Here is a 24,032-nt window from a genome sequence, read left to right on the forward strand (position 1 = left end):
TAGTTCACAGTCAGTTCCCAAAAAATGAGGCCCTAACGTAAGATGTTAAGGACTAAAAGAGGTCAGAATCAAAAGATATTTTGGGCTGGACACTATGGCTCATGCCCATACTTTGAGAGGCTGAGGCTGGAGGACTGCTTGAGTCCAGGAGTTCAAGACCGACCTGGACAACATAGGGAGATCCCTGTTATAAAAAGAAAAAAAGATATTGTGGAGATAAAAATGACATGACAGAAAATAACAAAAAATCTTCAAAGACAACCTCCAGATTTCTGGTTTAGGGGATAGGGATGGATGTTTACAAGAAATAGAGGAAGTAAGAATTTGACTAAAGGTGGGAAGAAACAGTAAGTTTTAGACTTTAGTCTTAAGATTTATTGAGTTTAGCTTTGAGCCTGGGGGGATGGGGGGGAAATTCCAATGGGATGACCCACCAGCAGTTGAAAAAAGTTGGGAACTAGTCTGATAAAATTAGGTTGGAGATTCCTCCCCTCCTAAGAAATGTCATTGCAAAATGGATTATGTTTACACTATTGTTTCTTCACTGAACCCTAAGTTTATCATTCATACAATTATCTAGTCCAAATCACCATTGTTTTGATAAAATTGAATAGTTAACAATGCGACTACTTCTGATTCTTCTTTGGGAAGTGGGTAAGAGGTATTTGTATTAGATCAGCAATATCATTAGGTCAAAATGGTTTAAATAATTTACTAAGCAAGTCAAGTCTTCCTGACTAGCTCAAGATCTTCCAGGAACAAATTTTCATTCACAGTACTGCCCCAGATCAACACAAAGATTTGCTTTTAAACTGAAGACAAACTCCTTTAGAAATATTTAACTCAGCCAGGTGTGGTGGCTCATGCCTGTAATCCCAGCACTTTGGGAGGTTGAAGCAGGCGAACAGCTTGAGGTCAGGAGTTTCAGACCAGCCTGGCCAATGTGGTGAAACCCTGTCTCTACTAAAAATACAAAAATTAGCCGGGTGTGGTGGTGGGTGCCTGTAATCCCAGCTGCTCGGGAGGCTGAGGCAGGAGAATTGCTTGAACCCGGGAGGTGAAGGTTACAGTGAGCCAAGATTGCGCCACTGCACTCCAGCCTGGGCGACACAGCGAGACTCTGTCTTTAAAAAAAAAAAAAAAAAAAAAAAAAAAAAATATATATATATATATATATAACTCAAAAACTTTTATGTACATGAATGAAAAAAATATAATCCTATAAAAGATAAAGTTGAAAACAAAAACAATACTATATCTTCATTAGCACAGTGCCTTTATACTAATTTATTCAAAGTGGAAATAACATGTTTGTGGAGCCTATATGACCTTGCTTGGATTCTGCGGGGAATGGGTAAAATTCATCTTTTTTAGGCAAAGAAAAACTGTTAAAGGAAAGTAGGCATTGGAATCACATCAACTCAAATTTTAAGGCTCTCTTAAATGTACTTTTTTCTCTCCATTAAAACACACACACACGTTCAAAAAGGGCATATATATATATATACATATATAAATTTTTTTTTTTTTTTGAGATGGAGTCTTGCTCTGTCGCCTAGGCTGGAGTGCAGTGGCGCAATCTCAATTCATTGCACCCTCCGCCTCCCAGGTTCAAGCAATTCTCCTGCCTCAGCCTCCAAAGTAGCTGGGACTACAGGCACGCACTACCATGCCAGACTAATTTTTTTTATTTTTACTAGAGATGGGGTTTCACCATGTTGGCCAGGTTGGCTTGAACTTCTGACCTCAGGTGACTCACCTGCCTCGGCCTTCCAAAGTGCTGAGATTACAGCGGTAAGCCACCGCACCCGGCCAAAAAGAACACATATTTTCTTATAATTTTTTCAGACAGTATTTGACATAACAAAAATACCATCATACCAAAAGAACCAAACAGTCCCAGAGGACTCACTATAATACAGCTATCTAAAAATTACAGTCTCTAAAAGTCTCTCTGTTTCATATTGGAATGTAAGCATTAACTCTGCATTTCCCAAGCTAATCTGGCAACAAAAGCCCTTTACATGTAACACCTATTAATTCTGCATACCCATTATTCCTGCAAAAACACTCTGGGAAACACTGGCATAAGAGTCTAAACTTCTTAGCAAAGAATACAAAAGCTCCTCCTTGATCTGGCTGCTATTTAATTAACCTCAACTCTAGTCTACCTAAAACTCTTCCCCCAAACCACCTAAATGCCATGTTACGTTTTCTTTTGCCCAAGGGCCTATCCTAACTAGTTTTGCCTAAATAGTTCTTTACCTCTTCTTCACCTAATATTTACTTTTCTTACTTTCCCTAGCTTTGCTGTTCCAGTAGGCTCTCTTTGATGAGCTCCTGTAGCACCCACTATAAATTACGGTGTATTATCATGTGCTTAGTCTGTCTACAGCAAAAGACCTGGCACACAACAGGTGTTTAATAAATACTGGCTAAATGAAGGGGATTCTTATACACTGCTACTAGGAAAAACTAATAAAGCACAGTTTTGGTATTACTACCTTCTTTTTCATATATCATGCAAATAAATGACTGGTGAATGAAAACAGAACTCAGAATAGTATGCAAAGGCTATGATTTGATCCCAAACTCTTTTTCTAGTCTAATCTCCCACTCTGCCATTACTCATCCCATTCTTTTTTTTTTTTTTTTTTTGGAGTTGGACAGGAGGGCAAGAGGTTTTTCTGTCTTCCTAGAATGCCACTTTCCTGTTGTCCACCTGTGTGATGCGCAGTAAGACTCTCAAGAGGTATTTCGACTTGTAAAGCTTCCCTGCGCTTTCATAATACTTTATGTATTATCTATTATGTATCATGCTTATTTCATTGAATTTTGTTTTCATTTAAACGGTACATTTTTTTCACAGGAATTTTAAACCTGAGATCTACAAGAATGGGTCCAGGGATAGAATCAGGGGTCTATGAATTTAAATGAGAAAAAGACACAACTCTATTATTATTAAACACAGCCTGAAATTTGGTGTTTCCTTCACTCTCAAATGCAGGCAATTAACAAGGTAGTATTAGGCAGTACTGGGTATATTAGTAATTACACAGGGTAGTATATTAGGTAGTGGTGGGTAGTATACTAGCTAGTATACTAAATTAGGTAGTATTAGGTGACTCCATTAACAAGAGAAATCTTACATCTTTTCATATCATATTATAGTTGTTGCAGATACTTTGAAATATTTATGCTCATCACTACTTCAAAATTCTGGTACTTATATCTGCTGCTAGAATTTATTATTTAATGCATTAATAAAGCATTAAATAAAAATAAAAAATGTTTTTGTACTATGTTAACTACATATCAATATAGTTGGCTTTCCTTAGTAATGAATACATAACATATATTTGGCCTTGCTATGTGCTTTGATTTATGCATTTAAACATATTCTGAGAAAGAGTCCATAGGTTTGCCAAACTGCCAAAGAGGTACGTGGTACCAAAAAAAGGTAAAGAACCACTGCTTTATGGTAAAGAATGTATCTTATTTACCTTTCATTGTTTGTAGCATACATAGGTATGCAAGAATTGGTGTATGCTCTCAAATTCACTTCTCTTCTAAAAAGAACTGTTAGGCTGGGAATGGCGACTCACGCCAGTAATCCCAGCACTTTGGGAGGTCGAGGTGGGCGATCAGCTGAGGTCAGGAATATGATACCAGCCTGGCCAACATGGTGAAACCCCGTCTCTACTTCAAAAATGAAAAAATTAGCTGGGCGTCGTGGTGCCTGCCTGTAGTCCCAGCTAGTTGGGAGGCTGAGGCATAAGAATCTCTTGAACCTGGGAGGTAGAGGTTGCAGTGAGCCAAGATTGCCCCACTGCACTACACCCTGGGGGACATAGTGAGATACTGTCTCAGAGAAAAAAAAAGAAAAGAAAAAAAAATTATTTCCATCTGTGGCTCCCTTTTTCTATTTTTCTCAACACGGGAGCCCAAAACTTTATCCTGAGCTAATAGCATATTTTAATTCTAAACTTCAAAGTAAGTTATTTGGCCGGACGTAGTGGCTCACGCCTGTAATCCCAGCACTTTGGGAGGCCGAGGAGGGCAGATCACCTGAGGTCAGGAGTTTGAGACCAGTCTGGCCAACATGGTGAAACCCCATCTCTACTAAAAATACAAAAATTAGCCAGGCGTGGTGGCAAGCGCTTGTAATCCCAGCTACTCGGGAGGCTGAGGCAGGAGAATCCCTTGAACCCAGGAGGTGGAGGTTGCAGTGAGCCAAGATCGCACCATTGCACTCCAGCCTGGGGGACAAGAGCGAGACTTTGTCTCAAAAAAAAAAAAAAAAAAAGAGGAAAAGAAAAGAAAAGAAAAGAAGTTTATTTTAGGTGAATGACTCCTAAACCAAATATAGTTCCTTAACCTATCCGGAGTCATGTGCTCCTTTGATCACTTGATAAATGTTCAATTAGTTGAAATAAATGAAAATACTTATTACCCACAACAAATCCATAGGTCATCTGGTTATAAACGAACACTTATCTGATTTTAGAGGGAACTTACAATTTTAAATCCAGAATAAAATACTTTTCATATATATCAATGGGAAAACAAAGGGGGAAAGGATTACACAACAAGGTCCACAAATTATACAAGATAATGATGGGCTTCAGAAGGCAAAAGAGTAATGAGTCTTTTCTAACTTGTGGTTGGGACAGAATGGACATTGTATTAATCTTTCTTTCTTTTTTTTTTTTTTTTTTTTGAGACAGGGTCTCACTCTGTTGCCCAGCCTTGAGTGTGCAGTATCAAGGTCACAGCTCACTGTAGCCTCCACCTCCCGGGCTCAAGTGATCCTCCCACTTCATCCTCTTGAATAGCTGGGACGACTGGTGTGTACCATCATGCCTGGCTAATTTTTTGTAGTGACAGACTCTCCTCTATGTTGTCCAGGCTGCTCTTGAACTCCTGAGCTCAAGTGATCCTCCTGCCTCGGCTTCCCAAAGTGCTGGGATTACAGGCATGAGCCACCGTGCCTGGCCTAATCTTTCAACCAAGTATTAACAAAGATATAAATTGGCAGATATGTTAATAGCAGTGGGTTTGGAGTCAAGGTATTCCGGGATTTGAGTCAAACTTTGTCACGTACTAGCTGTGAGAGTCAAAGCATTTAACTTCTACCTCAGTTTCCTCATCTGACTGCAGGAGATGTTAGCACCTCACAGAGTTTTTCAGAATATTAAATTAGATAATGCATACACAGATTTAACATTATTGTTAGCACATAAACACTCAACAATGTTGATAATATTAACTTACATATATTATCTATACAACACATGAAGATGTAAAAATGATAAAAAATGCTCTTAGAAAAGAATACTATTGATACATATATACTTAAAAATATGTAATCAATGAATTAGATTCAAAATTATCCCCTTTTGTAATATAAACACTCATATTGGGGTACATACCGGATCAACTTGCCATATGATAACTGTTGTATCTTTTGATCCTGTTGCTAGTTTAGTGCCATCATTAGAGAATTTACAGAACCACACTTCATTACAATGCTCCGTAAGTATCTGCTGCGTATAACATGGGAACTGCCTCCTAAAACAAAGAGGTCCACAAATTATTCTTTCAAAACAGATTAGAGTAATAATAATAAAAAAGGTTAAATAACTGACAAAACTTCTTTGAAGATCACATCACTAACTTTAAAAATAAGAAGTGAATGCATTTGTAAATCTTTTTTTTTTTTTTGAGACAGGGTCTCTCTGTTGCCCAGGCTCTGTACTGTTGTACAGTAGCACAATCATAGATCACTGTAGCCCTGACCGCCTGGGGTCAAGAGACTCTCCCACCTCAGCTTCCTGAGTAGCTGGGACCACAGACCTGTGACACCAGGCCCAGCTACATTTTTTTTTACTTGCTACTGGGGAGGCTGAGGGGGAAGTATTGCTTGAGCCTGGGAGTTAAGAGGCTGCAGTGAGTTATGACTGCACCACTGCACTCCAGCCTGGGTGATGGAGTGAGATCATTTCAAAAAACAAACAAACCAAAACCAAAATCAGAATAGGCTCCAGATAATGAGTTTAGGTCCTTCTCACTCACAAGCTTTAATGTCTTTGGCAAGTTATTTAACAACTCTTAGCCTGAGTTCCCACATCTACAAAAGGAGATTAGTATCTACCTAACAGGGTTCTTAGAATTCTTGTAAGAATTAGAAATACATTTAAAATTTCTGGAATGTAAGAGATACTCAAATGTGATTAATAATATTTGGGGGGATGCACAGGAGAAGTGCAATATATGGCAAGGAGTGCAGTAGTTAAGAGCAAAGCCTTAAGAATGGGAGCAGTAGTCTGACAGACTTAGATTTAAATCTTGGCTCAGTCACTTAGCTATGATTCTGAGATATTAAATTAACCTCTCTAAATCTCAATTTTTCCAACTATCAAACAAAGATTAAGGTATCTGCCTTACAGAATTCCTTACCCAAGGATGAAATAAGAGGAAGAGAAAATGACTATAAACCATTTAGACTGAATCTGACACTTAGCTAGTACCTCATAAATGGCAGCTAATATTATATATCAAGGGCAAAGCATTTTGTGATTTATGATCCGGTTTACCAACTTAAATGACTATTTTCATTAAGCACTCATTTAAAAAAAAATCATTCTTTTCCAACCTCTATATCAACTGTCCAACAGAACTTTCTGTGACAGTGGAAATGCTATATACCTGTGTTATCTAATATGGTAGCCCTCACTACAAGTGGCTATTGAACACTTGAAATGTGGCCAGTAAGCTGGAGGAACTTGATTTATTTAATTTGAATTATTTTACATTTGAATTTAAATGGACACATGTAGTTAGTGGCTACTGTTTAGACAGAACAGCTCTACCTTATAAATTCTCTGTATTATAAAAAACGTTATTTGAGTAGGCTGGGCATGGTGGCTCACACGTGTAATCCCAGCACTTTGGGAGGCCAAGGCAGACGGATCACCTGAGGTCAGGAGTTCAAGACTGGCCTGGCCAACATGGTGAAACCTCATCTCTACTAAAAATACAAAAATTAGTCGGGTGTGGTGACACATGCCTGTACTCTCAGCTACTCAAGAAGCTGAGGCAGGAGAATCGCTTGAATGTGGGAGGTGGAGGTTGCAGTGAGCCAAGATCATGCCACTCCACTCCAGCCTGGGTGACAGAGTGAGATAGTCTCAAACAACAACAACAACAAAAACCCCCCCCCCCAAAAAAAACGTTATTTAAACAATAATGGATACACCTTTAAGTGTATCTTGAAACACGGTCTTCCTTGCTTCTTTTCCCAATCAATAATTTAGAATTACATTTTGTCAATTCACCAGTCTGAAACAAAATATACATTTAAAAATAAATTAACATTCTTTATTTGGTACACATGGCAATCTACCTTAGCAGATGGGTATTTGCAGGCTGTTTTAAACTTTCAGATTTTTAAATTAAATTGCTTTAATATTACTACTATACATGTGTGATTTTAGATAAAATAATCAATACTAGCTGACATTTATTAAGCAATTACTAGGTGCCAAATGCTGCTTTAGACACTTCACATATAATATTGCTCATGGAAGTACTATTATCCCCATTTTCATGAGGCTCAAAGAGGACAAATAATTTACCAGATGTTATAAAACTGATAAGTAATTGTACTAAGATTTGGACCTATGGTTGACTCCAAGACCAGTTTTCTTTCCAAATACCATTTTAAAATCATATTTTTCAAGGCACTGCTGGACAAAATTCCAATCAAATAAGCAATTTCAGTATCAGAAATAGTTTTTTCCTCCTCTAATGTTTATCTTTATTTGTTTTTTTGAGATGGAGTCTCGCTCTGTTGTTCAGGATGGAGTGCAGTGGTGCGATCTCTGCTCACTGCAACCTCCACCTCCTGGGTTCAAGTGATTCTCCTGCCTCAGCCTCCCCAGCAGCTGGGATTACAGGTGCGCACCACTACACCTGGCTGATTTTTTTGTATTTTTAGTAGAGACAGGGTTTCATCAAGTTGGCCAGGCTGGTCTCGAACTCCTGACCTCACGTGATCCAGCCACTTTGGCCTCTCAAAGTGCTGGGATTACAGGCGTGAGCCACCACGCCCGGCCTGTTTTTTTTTTTGAGACTGAGTTTCGCTTGTTGCCCAGGCTGGAATGCAGTGGCACGATCTCGGCTCACTGCAATCTCTACCTCCCGGGTTCAAGCAATTCTCCTGCTTCAGCCTCCCCAGCAGCTGGGATTACAGGCACCCACCACCACACCCGGCTAATTTTTGTATTTTTAGTAGAGGCAGGGTCTTGCCATGTTGCCCAGGCTGGTCTCAAACTCCTGGGCTCAAGTGATCTCCCCACCTCGGCCTCCCAAAGTGCTGGGATTACAGGTGTGAGCCACCATGCCCTGCCTAGAAATTGTATACAATCTAATAAACCTTTTCAATGTACATCAGGATTTTTTATTCAGAATAATTCATTTTAATCAGAATAATTTTAATCAGAATAATTCATTTATTCATAATTCTTTATTCTCCAGAAAAAAGCGGGTATTTAATTTCAAAGCTAAGATTTAATTTCCGAAAATAGTTTTCTAGTTCCAATGCTAAAATCTAGTTTCTAAAAGAGTAAAGAAAGTAATAAAAATTAGCAACTTTTCTTTTGAAGACTTTTAGATAAATAATAGGAATTAAATTTAGGTTCAGACCCAGCATGGTTGCTCATACCTGTAACCCTAGCACTTTGGAAGGACAAGGTGGGAGGATCACCTGAGGCCAGGAGTTTGAGATTGGCCTGGGCAACACAGTGAGCAACCCCATCTCCAAAAAAAAGAAACCACAAAACAACAACGAAAACACAAAAACAAAGCAAAAAAGTTTTTTTTGAAATTAGCTGTGTGGTGGTCCACACCTGAAGCCCCAGCTGCTCAGGCTGAGACGGGAGTTCAAGGCTGCTGTGAACTATAATTGCACCACTGCACTCCAACTTGGGCTACAGGGCAAGATCATGTGTTGAATAAAAACTTTTTTTAATTAAAAAATAACTAAGTAAATTCAGGTTCTATTTTTGCAGTTTAGCAATAAAGGGCATAACTCACTCTCAAGACTGTGTATATAACGTAATGTCTGACATTATTCTCTTAGTGACTTTAAAATCTCTACAGTAAAAAGCTAAGGCTGACTCCAAGTTTTCTGGTTTGGGAAAACTGGGTAGATGGTTGCTTTTCACTGAGGTAGGGAATTTAAGAAAAAGCAGATTTTGCAAAAATAGGTGAGAGGGAAAGGAAGTTCTGTTTCGGACATGCTGTGTTTAATGTACTTGAGAACCCAAATTGTGGCATTAAGGTCTAAGGCTCAGGAGATAAATTCTGTAGCTCTGGCCTGTATCTAGTTGTCATTAGAACCATGGAAGTATAACTAAGGATGAGGGAAGAAACAATTCTGGAACACGTATTTCTTTCTTTTTTTTTTTTTTTTTTTTTTTTTGAGACGGAGTCTTGCTCTGTCGCCCAAGCTGGAGTGCAGTGGCGTGATCTCTGCTCACTGCAACCTCTGCCTCCCAGGTTCAAGTGATTCTCCTGCCTCAGCCTCCTGAGTAGCTGGGACTACAGGCGTGTGCCGCCATGCCCGGCTATTTTTTTTGTATTTTTAGTAGAGACAGGGTTACACCATTTTAGCCAGGATGGTCTTGATCTCCCGACCTCGTGATCCACTCGCCTCGGCCCCCCAAATACTGGGATTACAGGCGTGAGCCACTGCACCCGGCCTGGAACATGTATTTCTTAAAGGGACAGGTAAAGAAGAAGAGCCTAAGGAGTAGCCAGGAGTTAAACTAAGAATCTAGAATGTTTTAGAAGTCAAAGGAAAAGTTTCAAAGTAAAGTAGTACAGTGCTATAGTAAGGTGAAGATATAGGCTGGAAAATATCCACTGAATGTGAAAGAGGTATTCTCACCAACATCTACAATTCTGGTATTATGTTAGCTACACAGGTCCTAATACTAAAGAAATATGAAGAGTGAAGGAAAAGTAAGGACAAAGACATTGCGAATGTGTAGTAGGCAATGATTTCAAGAAGTCAGCTCTAAAGTGGAGGGGGAGAGAGAAAGAGAGGTAAGTAGGAGCATAGAGTGAAGGTTTTGTTTTAAGATTACAGAGAAGACCTTCTAATCAGTGGTTATTTCAGAAGAAAAAGGATGCTTTCATTCCTCTGTAAAACTCTGAACTGCTTTTTTCTTTCTTTTTTTTTTTTCTGAGATGAAGTCTCACTCTGTCGCCCAGGCTAGAGTGCAGTGGTGTGATCTCAGCTCATTGCAAGCTCCGCCTCCTGGGTTCACACCATTCTCCTGCCTCAGCCTCCCGAGTAGCTGGGACTACAGGCGCCTGCCACCACGCCCGGCTAATTTTTGTATTTTTAGAAGAGACAGGGTTTCACCATGTTAGCCAGGATGGTCTCAATCTCCTGACCTCGTGATCCACCCACCTCAGCCTCCCATAGTGCTGGGATTACAGGCGTGAGCCACCACACCCAGCCTGGACTGCTTTTCTACACAGGCTTATGAGAGCTTGGTCCCTGACCTGAGGGTTGGAAAAAGTTAGATTAAGTATTTTTCATCACTTAGTTTCATAGGTACTGATGTAGATGTTAAAACACTTTGGTCATGTTCCCATAGATTCCAGTTTCCAAACAGGAGGGCAAGCTCTTAACGTACTGATACCTCTTGAACCATTATGTCTAGTCACAACCTTTCAAAATATTTAAATTTATGAACCAAAAAAAGATTTGGGTTCACAAGCGTCTTAATTTTAACACTGTTCTCAAATCTGCGAATGGAGCTATGAACCATGAAACTATATAGTCTTTTAATCTATTATCTCTTCCTATTGCTATTCAATTTTATACAAAAAGATTTTTAAATCCTCAGAAGCAGGTCAATGAACATTATTAAAGAGTTTAAAAGGGATAGGGGAAAAAATTTCTAATCACTTCCTTGTAGAATATTTAAGATATGTACCAAGTAATAATCTAATATTTTAAGATAAAGTAAGGCCAATATCTCAAACAATTATTATTTTTGTACTTCAAGTAGGGAGAGTGAGGTTAAAAACTCAATAGGTACAAAAGTGGTTTATACACATGTAAAAAATTATTTTATATCACAGTAGAGATATGCATATATAGACAATTTTTACGGTTATTCAGAAGTTCCTCGTTATTCCAAAGTCCTCATACTTAATATGTTTTTGTCCTTATTTATGTTACTTTCATTAGTTCTTTGATATCACTGGTAAAAGCAACTGAGCACATGCATTGCAGCTATTCTCTATTCTCCTTTTTGTTTGGTTCACCAGATTCAAATTATTTCATTCTTGAAGTCTGAAATATTTCACAATTTGTTATTCGATATCTTAAAATTAAAGCTATGCTTTAGGCCCAGCATGGAGGCTCACGCCTGTAATCCCAGTGCTTTGGGAGGCCAAGGCAGAAGTATCGATTGCTTGAGACCAGAAGTTCAAGACCAGCTGGGGCAAGAGACCCCATCTCTACAAAAAAACTTAAGAATTAGCCAGGCATGGTAGTGCATGCCTATATAGTCCTAGCTACTCAGAAGGCTGAGGTGAGTGGATCACTTGAGCCTAAGGCTATATAGTAGCCTATGATCATGCCACTGCACTCTATCCTGGGCAACAGAGAGGCTGTGTCTAAAAAAGAAACCAACAAAAACATCAAGAACAAAATAAAGCTATACTTTAATTTTAGAGACCATTAAAATAGTAGGTATATTTTTACTCAAAATACTCCTAATGTCGAAAGAGAAGCCTGAATTCTTACAAGTTAAATTATGGACATGGGTACACATGGTAAAAAAAACCCAAACCATAAGTTAATAGCTGTTGTTCTAGCCATTTTTAGAGCCTGTCTTCTACTAAAAAGCAGAACTTTCATTAAGAAAAAAGTATTACCATGATCTTTATGTGCAGTAAATAATTTGGGACATAGTTAAATTGTCAGACACAGGAAACAAGTAACCAAACCTATAGATAACGAAAAACTGGCTTCCCAACTTCAGTTCTCAAGGTATGGTTACTAAGTAAACATACAGAAATTTCTCATAATTTTCAATTTTCATAGTTCCAGCTTTACTCGTGAACAAATGCTAAATCAGACATGAACTGTTATATAGCTACAGGATAAGACTCTAAAAAAGAAAACTAAAATTTTGTAAAATGTTAGGCTGTTTCAGAATATAGGAAGTTTTCCTCTTACCTACTACAAACATGGTCTATAAGCAGAGACACAGAATCTAGATTATTATCAAGTTTGGTATTGTGATATAGGCACCGATCCCTTTGTAGTTCCACCGCCTGCCGCAGGAGAGTCTGTAAACGCCGTGGGGGAAGCATCACTGATGGTGGTAAATAGGCTTTAATAGAAGATATTTTAAAAAAGAGAAATAATAATAAACTGTAAACTTTTATTTAAGACATTTGCTCATCTTCTGCTGTACTTGTTCCTACCCCAATAGTATCTATTCCTTAAATAGAGAAGTTCTGCGTTATGCGATACGTGAGCTTTACGAATATTTGTCAGCAGCAATAGCTATGCTGCTCATAAAATTGGATATATTTGGTGGGAGGGGTTTACTTTATATGTGGATTTTCTAGGGGCAGGGAGGATAAGTGAGGAATAACAACAACAAAATGAAGAAAAAGAAGACAACAATGAAAAGAATATTAGATATTATTGTGTACCAGGAGACCAGGTGTAAGTAAAATCTCCACTTAACAAATAGCAAAATTTTGGCAAATGTTGCAATAGGTTAAGTTCTAGTTCCCATCAAACTGCTCTAAAAATCGCCTCTTGGCCTTTTGGCTAAGATCAAGTACAAATTGCTCCAAATGCCAAAGATACTGTGTGAATTCAGGGAGTAACTGGTGTTTTGATATCCATACCAACCTACTGCAATCCTTGAATCCCTTATACCTCCCCAACTGCACGGCTTTGTGATTCTTAGGATCGTCACTGTCATTTCAACATCAAAATTATAGAATCATATAATTTTCAGAGAGAACATCTTTTACATAAAAATACAGCAAAAATGAAACCTGCATTACAATCTAGAATAAACATAACATGGTTGGGGAAGAATAAAACAATTTACCTAAAGAAACCTGGACCTTACTATTGAAATCAACAAAATCTTTAAAGCACTTGTGACTTAAAACTGTGGTTTACATATTTTTTTCTCTTAACACAGTACTTTTCCCCCAAACAAAATCTTAAGGGGGAACATCATCACATAATACAAATGAAAGAAGGGCTGCTCTGGAACCAGTGCCCTTTCACTGACTCCTGAGGTTAGCTTCTTAGACTCCATGACAGAGTCTGAAAAACTGGATTCTCCCTCTTCTAAGCACTCAATAAAAGTATGTCCAGATATTCCCCATCTGTCTTCCTAATTGATCACTGTATCCATTTGTAATCTAAGAGAAAACACAGCAACATAAAAAATTAAGACTCTTACTCTGAAGTTTATCCAATAGTTTAGATCGGGAAGCTGTCCCTTTGCCTTCCCATTCTGCTTTTGCACGTAGGTCTTCTGCATGGCTACACATCAGATACCTAAAAATACAACAGAGAAAGCAACCAATATTAAACCCATTTCTTTGTAATAAATGTAATTGAAAAGTACTGACCATCTGGCTATCTGCTTCTTACTAATACATGTCAAGAAATTTCTACAGTGGACTCAATTCATTAATATAATATGGCACCTGCATATAATTACTAAAATGTAAAGTAACAATACCTATATATATATTACCTATTAACAGAACAAATTCTTATGTTATTGTTATATATTATATATATGGCTCTTATTGTGCAGGTTCTAGCACTCAACACATATTACTTCCTTTAATGTTTATAACAACCCTGTAAGCACTATTATTATTCTATTTTTATAAATGAGGAAACCAAGGCACAGAAAGCTTAAGTAACTGGCCTAGGGTTAAGAGGCTAAGTAGGTATATAAACTCAGGCATTCCAGCTGTAGAACTTGCTCTTAACCACTAGGCTAACTTAACTACTTCTGAATAGTAAAATAAAACTCAAAGAACATATCTTCAAGACTTTATAATAAACATCATTCAAAAAATAGTATAACTGGATAATCATCCTTGTGTCATCTTGTGAAAGATACTGAGATCCCAGAGCACAAAACTGGGGAACTGTTTTATTGCTCACTGTATGTACAGAAGGTGGGATAAATGCTAAAGTTCACAGATTCTGGAGAATACATGAGGGGCCCCTGCTGGGAGTGTGACCCTGACCTGGTTTTGGTTCTTCTCAGAAGAATGGGCTTTGAAAGTAAAAGAAGTGAAGGTATTATTCAAACATGGAGATTAGACCTGGCAAGTAACTCTCCTGCTATTCTGTCTCATGCTCTGCCAGACAAATCTGTTTCTCTCACTTGTAAAAAGAATATTAAATAGGGTAATGAGGATTCTTGAAGATGAAGCATTTTAAGTACTTAGTCTACGACCTGCTATACCTCTCAGTTAACATGAGTATCATCACTCCCTCCCTTTCTTAACTGCATAAAGCATATTTCATTTAGAATCTAAATGATTTAATAGTCTCTTCCCAAACAGCAGAACTACTTTTCCTCTTGATTTTTAGTACATAAATAGTGCTTTAACTGATCAAAAAAACTTATTTAATAATGTAAGTAATTATACTCAAAAACGCTATAGGAAGTTAGCTATTGTGTTTTTTTGTATTTTTAGTAGAGACAGGGTTTCACCATGTTAGCCAGGATGGTCTTGATCTCCTGACCTCGTGATCCGCCCGCCTCGGCCTCCCAAAGTGCTGAGATTACAGGCGTGTGCCACCGTGCCCAGCCAGAAGTTGGCCATTGTGAATATTTTGTTTCTAAAACAACTTTTTTTGGGCAAAGTTTATTATCAATAATTATATTTTAAAATGTTCATTTTTAAAATTTTACAAAAGTGACTTAGAATTGCTTCTATGTCCTTGTGAAAATACATATTAAATCTTAAAGTTTTAAATGAATTTCTGTTTACAGAAAGTCACATGGTACAACTAAAAGGACATTGGACTGAGAAGGAGAAACCCTGGGTTCTGATCCCAGTTCCACATCTCACCACCTTTGGGCCATTTCCTTAGGTGAAAAACTCATGGTGTGCTTCAGAATAAAACCCATATGACTAATTATATGTTCTGACACAAGAGCAGGAAAAAAATCATCATGTGAATGATATTCCGATGACAAAGAAATCAGATACCGCATTAAAAAGGTAATCAGCACGCCTGTAATCCCAGCACTTTGGGAGATGAGGCAGGAGGATCACCTGAGGTCAGGAGTCCGAGACTAGCCTGGCCAACATGGCGAAACCCCGTCTCTACTAAAAATACAGAAAAAAAATTAACTGGGCGTGGTGGTGCATGCCTGTAATCCCAGCTACTTGGGAGGCTGAGGCAGGAGAATTGCTTGAACCCAGGAGGTGGAGGTTGCAGTGAGCCGAGATTGCGCCACTACACTGCAGCATGGATAATGGAGAGAGACTCTGTCTCAAAAAAAAAGGTAATCGGAACAAGAAATTTGTCAGCTACCATATCAAAACATCTAGCAGGCCAGGTGTGGTGGCTTGTGCCTGTAAACCTAGCACTTTGGGAAGCCAAGGTGGGAGGACTGCTTGAGCACAGGAGTTCAAGACCAGTCTAAGCAACATAGCCAGACTCCATCTCAAACAACAAGAAAAAAACCTGTAGAATTTATTGTTTCAAGATGTGGTAGTGGGTAAGACCAATGACTTTGGAATCAGTCAAACCAGGCTTTGAGTCCTGCTTTCTGAATTATTAGCTTTATATTGTGCTGGCTACTTAACTTCTTTGAGGCTCAGTTTCCTTATCTGCAAGGAATGGGCCCTTATCTTGGGCCCATTCTTTTGTCCATCATTTTGTATTTACAAACTCGTGTGTCACATATTTGTTCTCGATGCTGGAGCCATATCATATAGTGAAAAATGCTATAAAGAAAAAACATAAAAACAGAGTGATGTCACGAGAATACCCAGTGGGTAATCTTGGGAGATGATGATGCTTGGGCTGGGAGCTGAGCAAGGAGTACCCAGCTATGCAAAGACTGGGGGACATACATTTCAGATGGAGGGGACAAGCAGTGCAAATGCCTTAAGGGGTGGCAAGTTAAGGAACAGAAAGAGCATGAGTGTCACTAGAGTAATGAATAAAGAAAAAGATGGCAGAAAAGGATCAGGGATTTTGTGGCCTTGCACAGAGATTTTGGGTTTTAAGACTGCTGGAGAGCCAGTGGCAAGGGAGTAAAGACTTCATTTATGGTTTTGCTTACTTGTCTGGCTGCTGTGTGAAATATGCATTGTTAAGAAATTAAGAGTGAAGCCTGGTACAGTGGCTCACGCCTATAATCCCAGCACTTTGGAAGGCTGAGGCAGGTGGATCACCTGAGGTCAGAAGTTCGAGACCAGCCTGGCCAATGTGGTGAGACCCCATCTCTACTAAAAATACAAAATTAGCCGGGTGTGGTGGCGCATGCCTATAATCCCAGCTACTCAGGAGGCAAGGCTGAAGCATCACTTGAACCCAGGAGGCGAAGGCTGCAGTGAGCTGAGATTGCACCATTGCACCCCAGCCTGGGTGACAATAGTGAAACTCTGTCTCAAAAAAAAAAAAGGAAAGAAATTAAGAGTGAAGACAATGTAACTAGGTGGGAAGCTACTATAATATTCTAGGAGAGATGTCCATGGCTTAACTAGGCTAGAAACTGTGGAGATTCAGAGAAATGAAAATTTTATATTTTTTAGAATTAGGCCATACATGTCAAAGTTAAAAGACAAAGAAAAAGCAATATGAGGCTTAAGTTCTTCCCTTAAGCAACTGGGTTGAAGATCTTGCGATATACTGGAAGTGGCACAGGTCTGTAGAGGTTAAATTTATTCCTAAATTATTCTTTTTTATACTAGTGTAAATAAAACTGTTTTCTTAATTCCATTTTCTGAATTATTCATTGCTAGATTATAGAAATACCATTATTCTTGTGTATTGACCTTGTATCCTACAACCTTGCTGAACTTGCCTATTAGTTCTAAGAGTTTTTTAGTGGATTCCTTAAATTTTCTTTATATAAAATCATGACATCTTTGAACAGAGATAGTTTTTCCTTTTCAATCTTTTATTCCTTTTTCTTGCCTAATTTCCTTGGCTAGAACCTCCAATACAATGTTGAACAGACGTAGCAAGAGTAGACATCATTGTCCTATTCTTGATCACAAGAAGAGAGGTTTCAGTCTTTCACTGCCAGCCCTGTGAGTTTTCATTAATGCCCTTTATTCGGTCAAGGAAGTTCCTTTCTATTCCTAGTTTGTTGAGTGCATTTATCATGAAGGGGTGAATCCAGAATTTTGTTTTGAGGCTGGGTGCAGTGGCTCATGCCTATTAACCCAGCACCTTGGGAGGCCGAAGCAGGTGGATTGCTTAAGGTTAGGAGGAGTTCAAGGCCAGCCTGGGCAACATAGCGAGACCTGTCTCTACAAAAAATGAAAAAATTAGCCACATGTGGTGGTACATGCCTGAAATCCTACCTACTTAGGAGGGTGAGGCAGGAGGATGGCTTGAGCCCAGAAACTAGAGGTGGCAGTGATCTATGATTGTGCCACTGCACACCAGCCTCATACAACTGAGACATCTATTAAACATCCAAGTGGAGAATGTCAGGTATGCCAGTAGATATACATATTGGGAGTTCAGATGAGAAGCTAAATTTAAGAGCCACTGGTATACAGATAGTATGTGAAGGCATGGTATAGAATGAGATTACCTAAAAAGAGTATGTAGATAGAGAATAAAGAGGCCCAGGATCAAACCTTTGGGTACTCTAACATTTTAAGGATTAATGTGGCGAGGTACAGTGACTCATGCCTGTAATCCCTGCACTCTGGGAAGATCACAGGAGTTTGAGATCACACTGGACAACACTGTAAGACCCTGTCTCTACCCTTCACCCCCCAAAAAAGGACTGATGTTGATGTGAGGATTAAATGAGGCTGTTTATGTGAAAAGCTTAGCAAGGGCCTGGCACATGACAAGTATTCACTTAAAAAAGTTAGTGTGCACCAATACTGGAAATGTCATTGTTTACTGTGATCCATATCATATGATTTTTATTTTGTTTTTAACTACAAAAGCTGTCCTTGGAATGTAATAGGGTTTTCATAGAACATTCTAAAATAGCATTTCACAGGCAATACATATTTTCTTCTCCCTTTCACCCACTTAAATATATCTCTATCCTAATCTGAACAGTTTCCTAGAATGACCAAAATAGTTGATCCACACAGGAGTGAGTTTACCTAGACAAATATCTAAGAATTTAGCAATAATCAAGATTTTATATTTTGGAAAAATGTTAAAGAAATATAACTTTGGCCCTCCATTAACCTGAGTTCAAGAACTCAGTTTCCTTACCCACTAAGAACATGAATGCGCTCTGTATTGTATTTCAGCGGCGTCAATTCACAGCGTAGAACTTGAAGTGCCTCCAGGACCTTGCCATCCTCCAGGTATTCTAGGTACTTCTGCTGCAGCAGCAAAAACTTCATCCTCTGACATGACAGAAAGCAGCAGTCAGGGGAAAAAAGTTGATGGAAGTTTCAGAAAATGTTTGTGCCTAAACAGAACAGTAGAAACCATTCTACTATGCCCTTTGAAATAACTTTTTATAAAGCTTCAAGATGACTCAAAATATTTTAGTTTAGTAGAGCCACAGTAGATTAAATGTGACTTTGCTCAATTCCACATCTTACTAAAACTCTGCTTTGAACAAATAATCTCAAATCAGACTAGATCATTAGTGACTGAGGCATCAGCCTTGGAAAAAATGAATTCTCCTCTCAAAGCAATCTCCTACAATTGTAGTTCTTGTATAAAAATTTAGAACTATTCCAAGTACTTGAAATTTGCTTTTTAAGAAGTATGACTTTATAACTAGGGCACTGGGGGGTTTTATGCAACAAGTTTTGAAAAGATTAGAGAAAAAAATAGCAAATGAACTATTTAAGTCACAATGTGAAAGAGGGAATAAGTAGACCAGAAATCAGAACTAGACACACTCAGGAGAAGGAGAAAAGTATATTTTGGCTTATCAAAAGTTAAGAGCTGTCCAACAAATGTACTACAAGTTGGTGTGCAAAGTATTGAATTTCCTACAACTAACGTGGACAAGCATAAGCTTGATGCACTCACTCTCTTCTAGGCGGCTATTAAGGGATGTCTACGTTAGATGGTTGAACTTAAAGGTTTTTAAAAAGATTCAATATTTGTACTTGTGTATTTCTGACAATCTGATCACTGATGCATTTAAAAGTGAAGCACAGGAAATTATTATTCGCTCTTTTCTCCCCTAAACCAATAAACCACTTTCCAGCTGTGAGACACTTTCACATTTAGTTTTTTCCTGAACTGTGTTTTTGACTTTAATACTTTTAAATGCTACTTTATTATTTTACTTTTAACTTGAAACCACGTGGTCACAATCTTAGCAGTTTTTTACAAGAGAAAAGGGATATTTATAAACATCATTTTGAAACTTCTTTTAAACCTTAAACCTAATTAAGGACCACAGGTTGGAGGGACCTTTTCATCATAGTTGCTACTTGTGGAGCTTGAGCAAGCCAATTAATGTAAACAGAGACATCAGTAGGTAGGAAATGTTAGTCATATTTAGAGACTCCAAGGAATACAGCGGTAAAGATCTCAAGTCCACTTAAAATTAAAACTTAAAGTACAATTTTTCTTCTTCGTAAGATGCTTTTCTTCTTTTTTTTTTGAGACAGAGTCTCACTGTGGCCCAGGCTAGAGTGCAGTGGCGTGATCTTGGCTTACTACAACCTCTGCCTCCTGGGTTCACGCGATTCTCCTGCCTCAGCCTCCTAAGTAGCTGGGATTACAGGCACCCGCCACCACACCCAGCTAATTTTTGTATTTTTAGTAGAGACAGGGTTTTGCCATGTTGGCCAGGCTGGTCTTGAACTCCTGACCTCAAGTGATCTGCCCACCTTGGCCTCCCAAAGTGCTGGGATTACAGGCATGAGACACCGCACCCGGCCCAAAATGCTTACTTTAAAACCATAAAAAAATACACTGCTGTCACGAAATGCTGTGGAGAAATTACCATTTATTTGCAGAATTAACAGTATAATAAACTGCTCTACAAGATTTTCTATCAAGGAGTATTTAGAAGAGAGATATAAACTGTAAGCTTATAAAAGTGGTTTCTAGAGAAAGTAAGCAATAATAAACCCTCTCATATAAGTTAGGCATGTATTTAAATTTATAAGATACATTTCTTTTGCTTGATACAAATCTCATCTTAAATATACGGCTAAGGAACAGAAAAAAATTCAAACTGAGACACTCCTGTAACTCTGGGAAAATTACACTTATCAAATTTTACATATAAATTTAGAATGACTAATGAATGTTTCAGAAATACATTAATTACCAAGATGCTCTGAAAAGTACATTACTGTACATACAGCCTGAAGTTAACCTTTCTATGTTAAATGAAAAAACTTTGTCATTCATCAGGTCACAGAAACCAAAAACTAAACAATGCAAAAAAAAAAAAAATCTAAAAATAAAAGAATTTTATATTTGAAGTTATTCTGGATATTCGCACCATTTTAGCTTCTGAAAAAAATGCAACTATGAAATGAAGACCTCATATATTTTCATTTATCAATATAATGTTAAAAGTTTCATTCCACCGGGTGTGGTGGCTCACACCTGTAATCCCAGCACTTTGGGAGGCTGAGGCGGGTGGATCACGAGGTCAGCAGTTCGAGACCAGCCTGACAAACATGGTGAAACCCCGTCTCTACTAAAAAAAAAAATACAAAAAAATTAGCTGGGTGTGGCAGCGGGTGCCTGTAATCCCAGCTACTTCGGAGGCTGAGGCAGGAGAATCGATTGAAACTGGAAGGTGGAGGTTGCAGTGAGCCGAGATTGTGCTACTGCACTCTAGCCTGGGCAACGAGAGCAAAACTCTGTCTCCAAAAAAAAAAAAAAAAAAAAAAAGTTTCATTCCATTTTGTGGTATTTTTTAAATTCAAACTTGAAAATCTTATTCAGTTGCAGAACTTTTTCATTTAAATGTCACATGGAACTGGCCAGAGCATGAGATGTAATTTCTTCACTAAATTTTCTTAGTAATTGGGAATTGAGGGGCTTAAAAAAAAATTTCAGGGCAAGTTTTTTATTTACTTAATATTTATTTTTTTTGGTATCAATCATTAGGCTCCTATGCCCACCCCTCCCCCATTCCAATGTGTGCAGGGACAGTGCCCAAAGCGCTATTTCTCCCTTATTTTCCCACCAAGATCTTGATACAACATGTTACTCTTTTTCTATGGGGCAGAGGTGGGGCAGGAGAGCAGAGAAAGGCTGACTAAAACTCTGAGAGAAGCCAATATAAACACATATTTCTGTATATACAGGGAATGCTATAAAAGTAGCACAAGAGCATTTCTCTATGAGTCATTTTATCCAGATCAAGACCAAGAATATTCTCAAACAGATATCAAATCCTGGTATTGTGCATGGCAACTAACATGCTGCTGGCCAAGCACAGCTAGAGATCTGTTTGAAAGAAAATGTTTATTCTCCAAAAAATCAGTTGAAGTATTTGACACATACGATAAGGGTGGGGAGTAAAACTGTATTTTACCTCCCAAAATTTAAAGCACAAAAATGTAAATATAACCTCAAGAAAGCAAAGACCCTTTAATTAACAAATAATGTTAAATATTTACTGAAAACATTGTAAAAATCAGACAAAATTAAAGCTTGCTGAGATGGGGACAGGGCTCTACTAATGTTTATATTTTTTAAAAAATCTTGAAGAAATAAAGACAAAAAAAGATTAGGAAAATAAACTCTCCTTTATGTCTTTCCCCAACTCCCAACTAGATCTCTTAAGAGATTATTTCTGGTCTCTAATGATTTTTTACCATCTCTGGGCCCAGCAAGATCTCCTTCTCCATTTTAATATCTAATAAATTTGAAATTGTTAAGTGACTAGGATAGCTTGAATGATAGTTTCACGTCGTAAATTCTGCTGTTGCTCCCCTAGTCCACCCAATACTGAATTGCTTTATTCCTTCCTTTGCTCCCATATTATTAAACTGAACTCAACATGAAAGAAAAACCCAGAAATTACGATACTTAGAAAGTCTGGTTCTCAAGGGCGGCCTCCTAGCTAATTCAGTAATGGTTCTAACTCTGGAGTAAGGTCATAACCAAATCTTATCAATTAAATCATGATTTCTCAGAGAAAAGGGGAAATAAATTATATCTAAACTTGGCACTCAAAACTCCTATTTGACTTTAAAATATACTAGTTAATTATAGATGCCAATTTTTCTTAAGCATATTTCCATTATATTAAAAAATAACCAAATATTTCTAGACATAAAAAAAGTTTTCTATTATTGGTCTCGTATACCCATCCAAATTGCCCAGAAATGGCGAAGTATATTTGAACCCAAACTAAAAAATGCTGATTTGGCCCGGCACGGTGGCTCACGCCTATAATCCCAGCACTCTGCGAGGCTGAGGCGGGTGGATCACCTGAGGTCAGGAGTTCGAGACCAGCCTGACCAACATGGTGAAAACCCATCTCTACTAAAAATACAAAAAAAAAAAAAATTAGCCAGGCTTGGTGATGGACACCTGTAATTCCAACTACTTGGGAGGCTGAGGCAGGAGAATCTCTTGAACCCCGGAGGCAGAGGTCGCAGTGAGCCAAGATTGCGCCATTGCACTCCAGTCTGGGCAATAAGAGAAACTCCATCTCAAAAAAAAAAAAAAAATGCTGATTCATGAAAGCAACTTCTGCCATTCCTAGTACCATTTAATCGGAAACCATTTAAACAGCTGGTGCAGTGGTTCACACCTGTAATCCCAGCACTTTGGAAGGCTGGGGCGGGCGGATCACAAGGTCAGGAGTTCGGGACCAGCTTGGCCAATATGGTGAAACCCCATCTACACTAAAAATACAAAAATTAGCCGGGCATGGTGGCATGTGCCTGTAGTCCCAGCTACTTCGGAGGCTGAGGCAGTGGAATCGCTTGAACCTGGGAGGCGAGGTTGCAGTGAGCCGAGATCGCGCCACTGCACTCCAGCCTGGGCGACAGAGCGAGACTCCATCTCAAAAAAAAAAAAACAAAACAAACAAACAGACAAAAAAAACAAAGGGAGTAGGCTGTAGAGAGAGTGGATTGGGTCAATGAAAACATTCAGGCTTAAAAAATAAAGTACAATTTTAGTCTAGACTAAGCCATCAAATGTGTCTGGGTATACAATTAAAATAATTACGTTTAAAGAAACCCTAATAGTTGTCTTCTAAGATATTATTACAAATTTAAGCTTATATTAGATTCTCTTCTTCTGGAGATGGGATGGATGAGAAAAGTAAATTTAAACACAATTAGAGAGGTGAAGAGCAACTTCAAAAAATGCTGAAATTAATCTTTAAAAGCAATTGATTCATCAATGCTTAAAGTGAGATAAAAGTTGGAACCCTTTTCTTTTTATAAATACCTAAACAGTTTGATGGCATGAGGCTCAGCCAGAGATTTAATCTTCATCTTTTATTAGATCCTAGAATGTTCTACAGACTGAACAGGCTGTAAAAAGAAAGGATTCCTCCTTATTATCTATAACTACCTTTCTTCAGTTTACATGCTGCCTCTAATGAAGGTTTCTAATGAGATAGTCATAATCGAAATCCAATACAGAACTCTCAAATTACTATAAACAAATAAGAAAAAAATAGGAAGTAAGCCTATTAAATTTTTTACTACTAAATTACAGATATAATTTGGGCGAAGCTTAAACAACCTCCAAGAAATCACACACATTTTAAACCAGTCCACAGGCAAGTTCTTTATTGTCAACACACAAGTAGTGCTAACTT

At 38.2% G+C, this 24,032-nt stretch overlaps 1 protein-coding gene across 3 annotated transcripts in view, besides 2 other annotated features; it reads right to left on the bottom strand.

The window, feature by feature from the left end:
• WDR26 (WD repeat domain 26) overlaps positions 1-24,032 on the bottom strand; it is a 49,652-nt gene that overhangs the window by 20,849 nt on the left and 4,771 nt on the right. For all 3 annotated transcript variants that reach the window (NM_001115113.3, NM_025160.7, NM_001379403.1), the window contains exons 4-7: positions 18,524-18,660; positions 13,524-13,621; positions 12,266-12,422; positions 5,433-5,571 (exon numbers count right to left, since the gene is read on the bottom strand). In NM_001115113.3, coding sequence (NP_001108585.2) covers positions 5,433-5,571; positions 12,266-12,422; positions 13,524-13,621; positions 18,524-18,660 — 531 coding nt within the window. The remainder of the gene's footprint in view (positions 1-5,432; positions 5,572-12,265; positions 12,423-13,523; positions 13,622-18,523; positions 18,661-24,032) is intronic.
• Positions 22,387-22,976: an enhancer, noted in NCBI's record as "H3K27ac-H3K4me1 hESC enhancer chr1:224616083-224616672 (GRCh37/hg19 assembly coordinates)". NCBI's record gives its function as "activates a minimal SCP1, AML or CMV promoter by ChIP-STARR-seq in naive H9 embryonic stem cells {active_cell/tissue: H9 hESC(naive)}" and the evidence as "EXISTENCE:reporter gene assay evidence [ECO:0000049][PMID:30033119]".
• Positions 22,977-23,566: an enhancer, noted in NCBI's record as "H3K27ac-H3K4me1 hESC enhancer chr1:224616673-224617262 (GRCh37/hg19 assembly coordinates)". NCBI's record gives its function as "activates a minimal SCP1, AML or CMV promoter by ChIP-STARR-seq in naive H9 embryonic stem cells {active_cell/tissue: H9 hESC(naive)}" and the evidence as "EXISTENCE:reporter gene assay evidence [ECO:0000049][PMID:30033119]".

Source organism: Homo sapiens, chromosome 1 (genome assembly GCF_000001405.40).
Source record: "Homo sapiens chromosome 1, GRCh38.p14 Primary Assembly".
Lineage (NCBI taxonomy): Eukaryota > Metazoa > Chordata > Mammalia > Primates > Hominidae > Homo > Homo sapiens.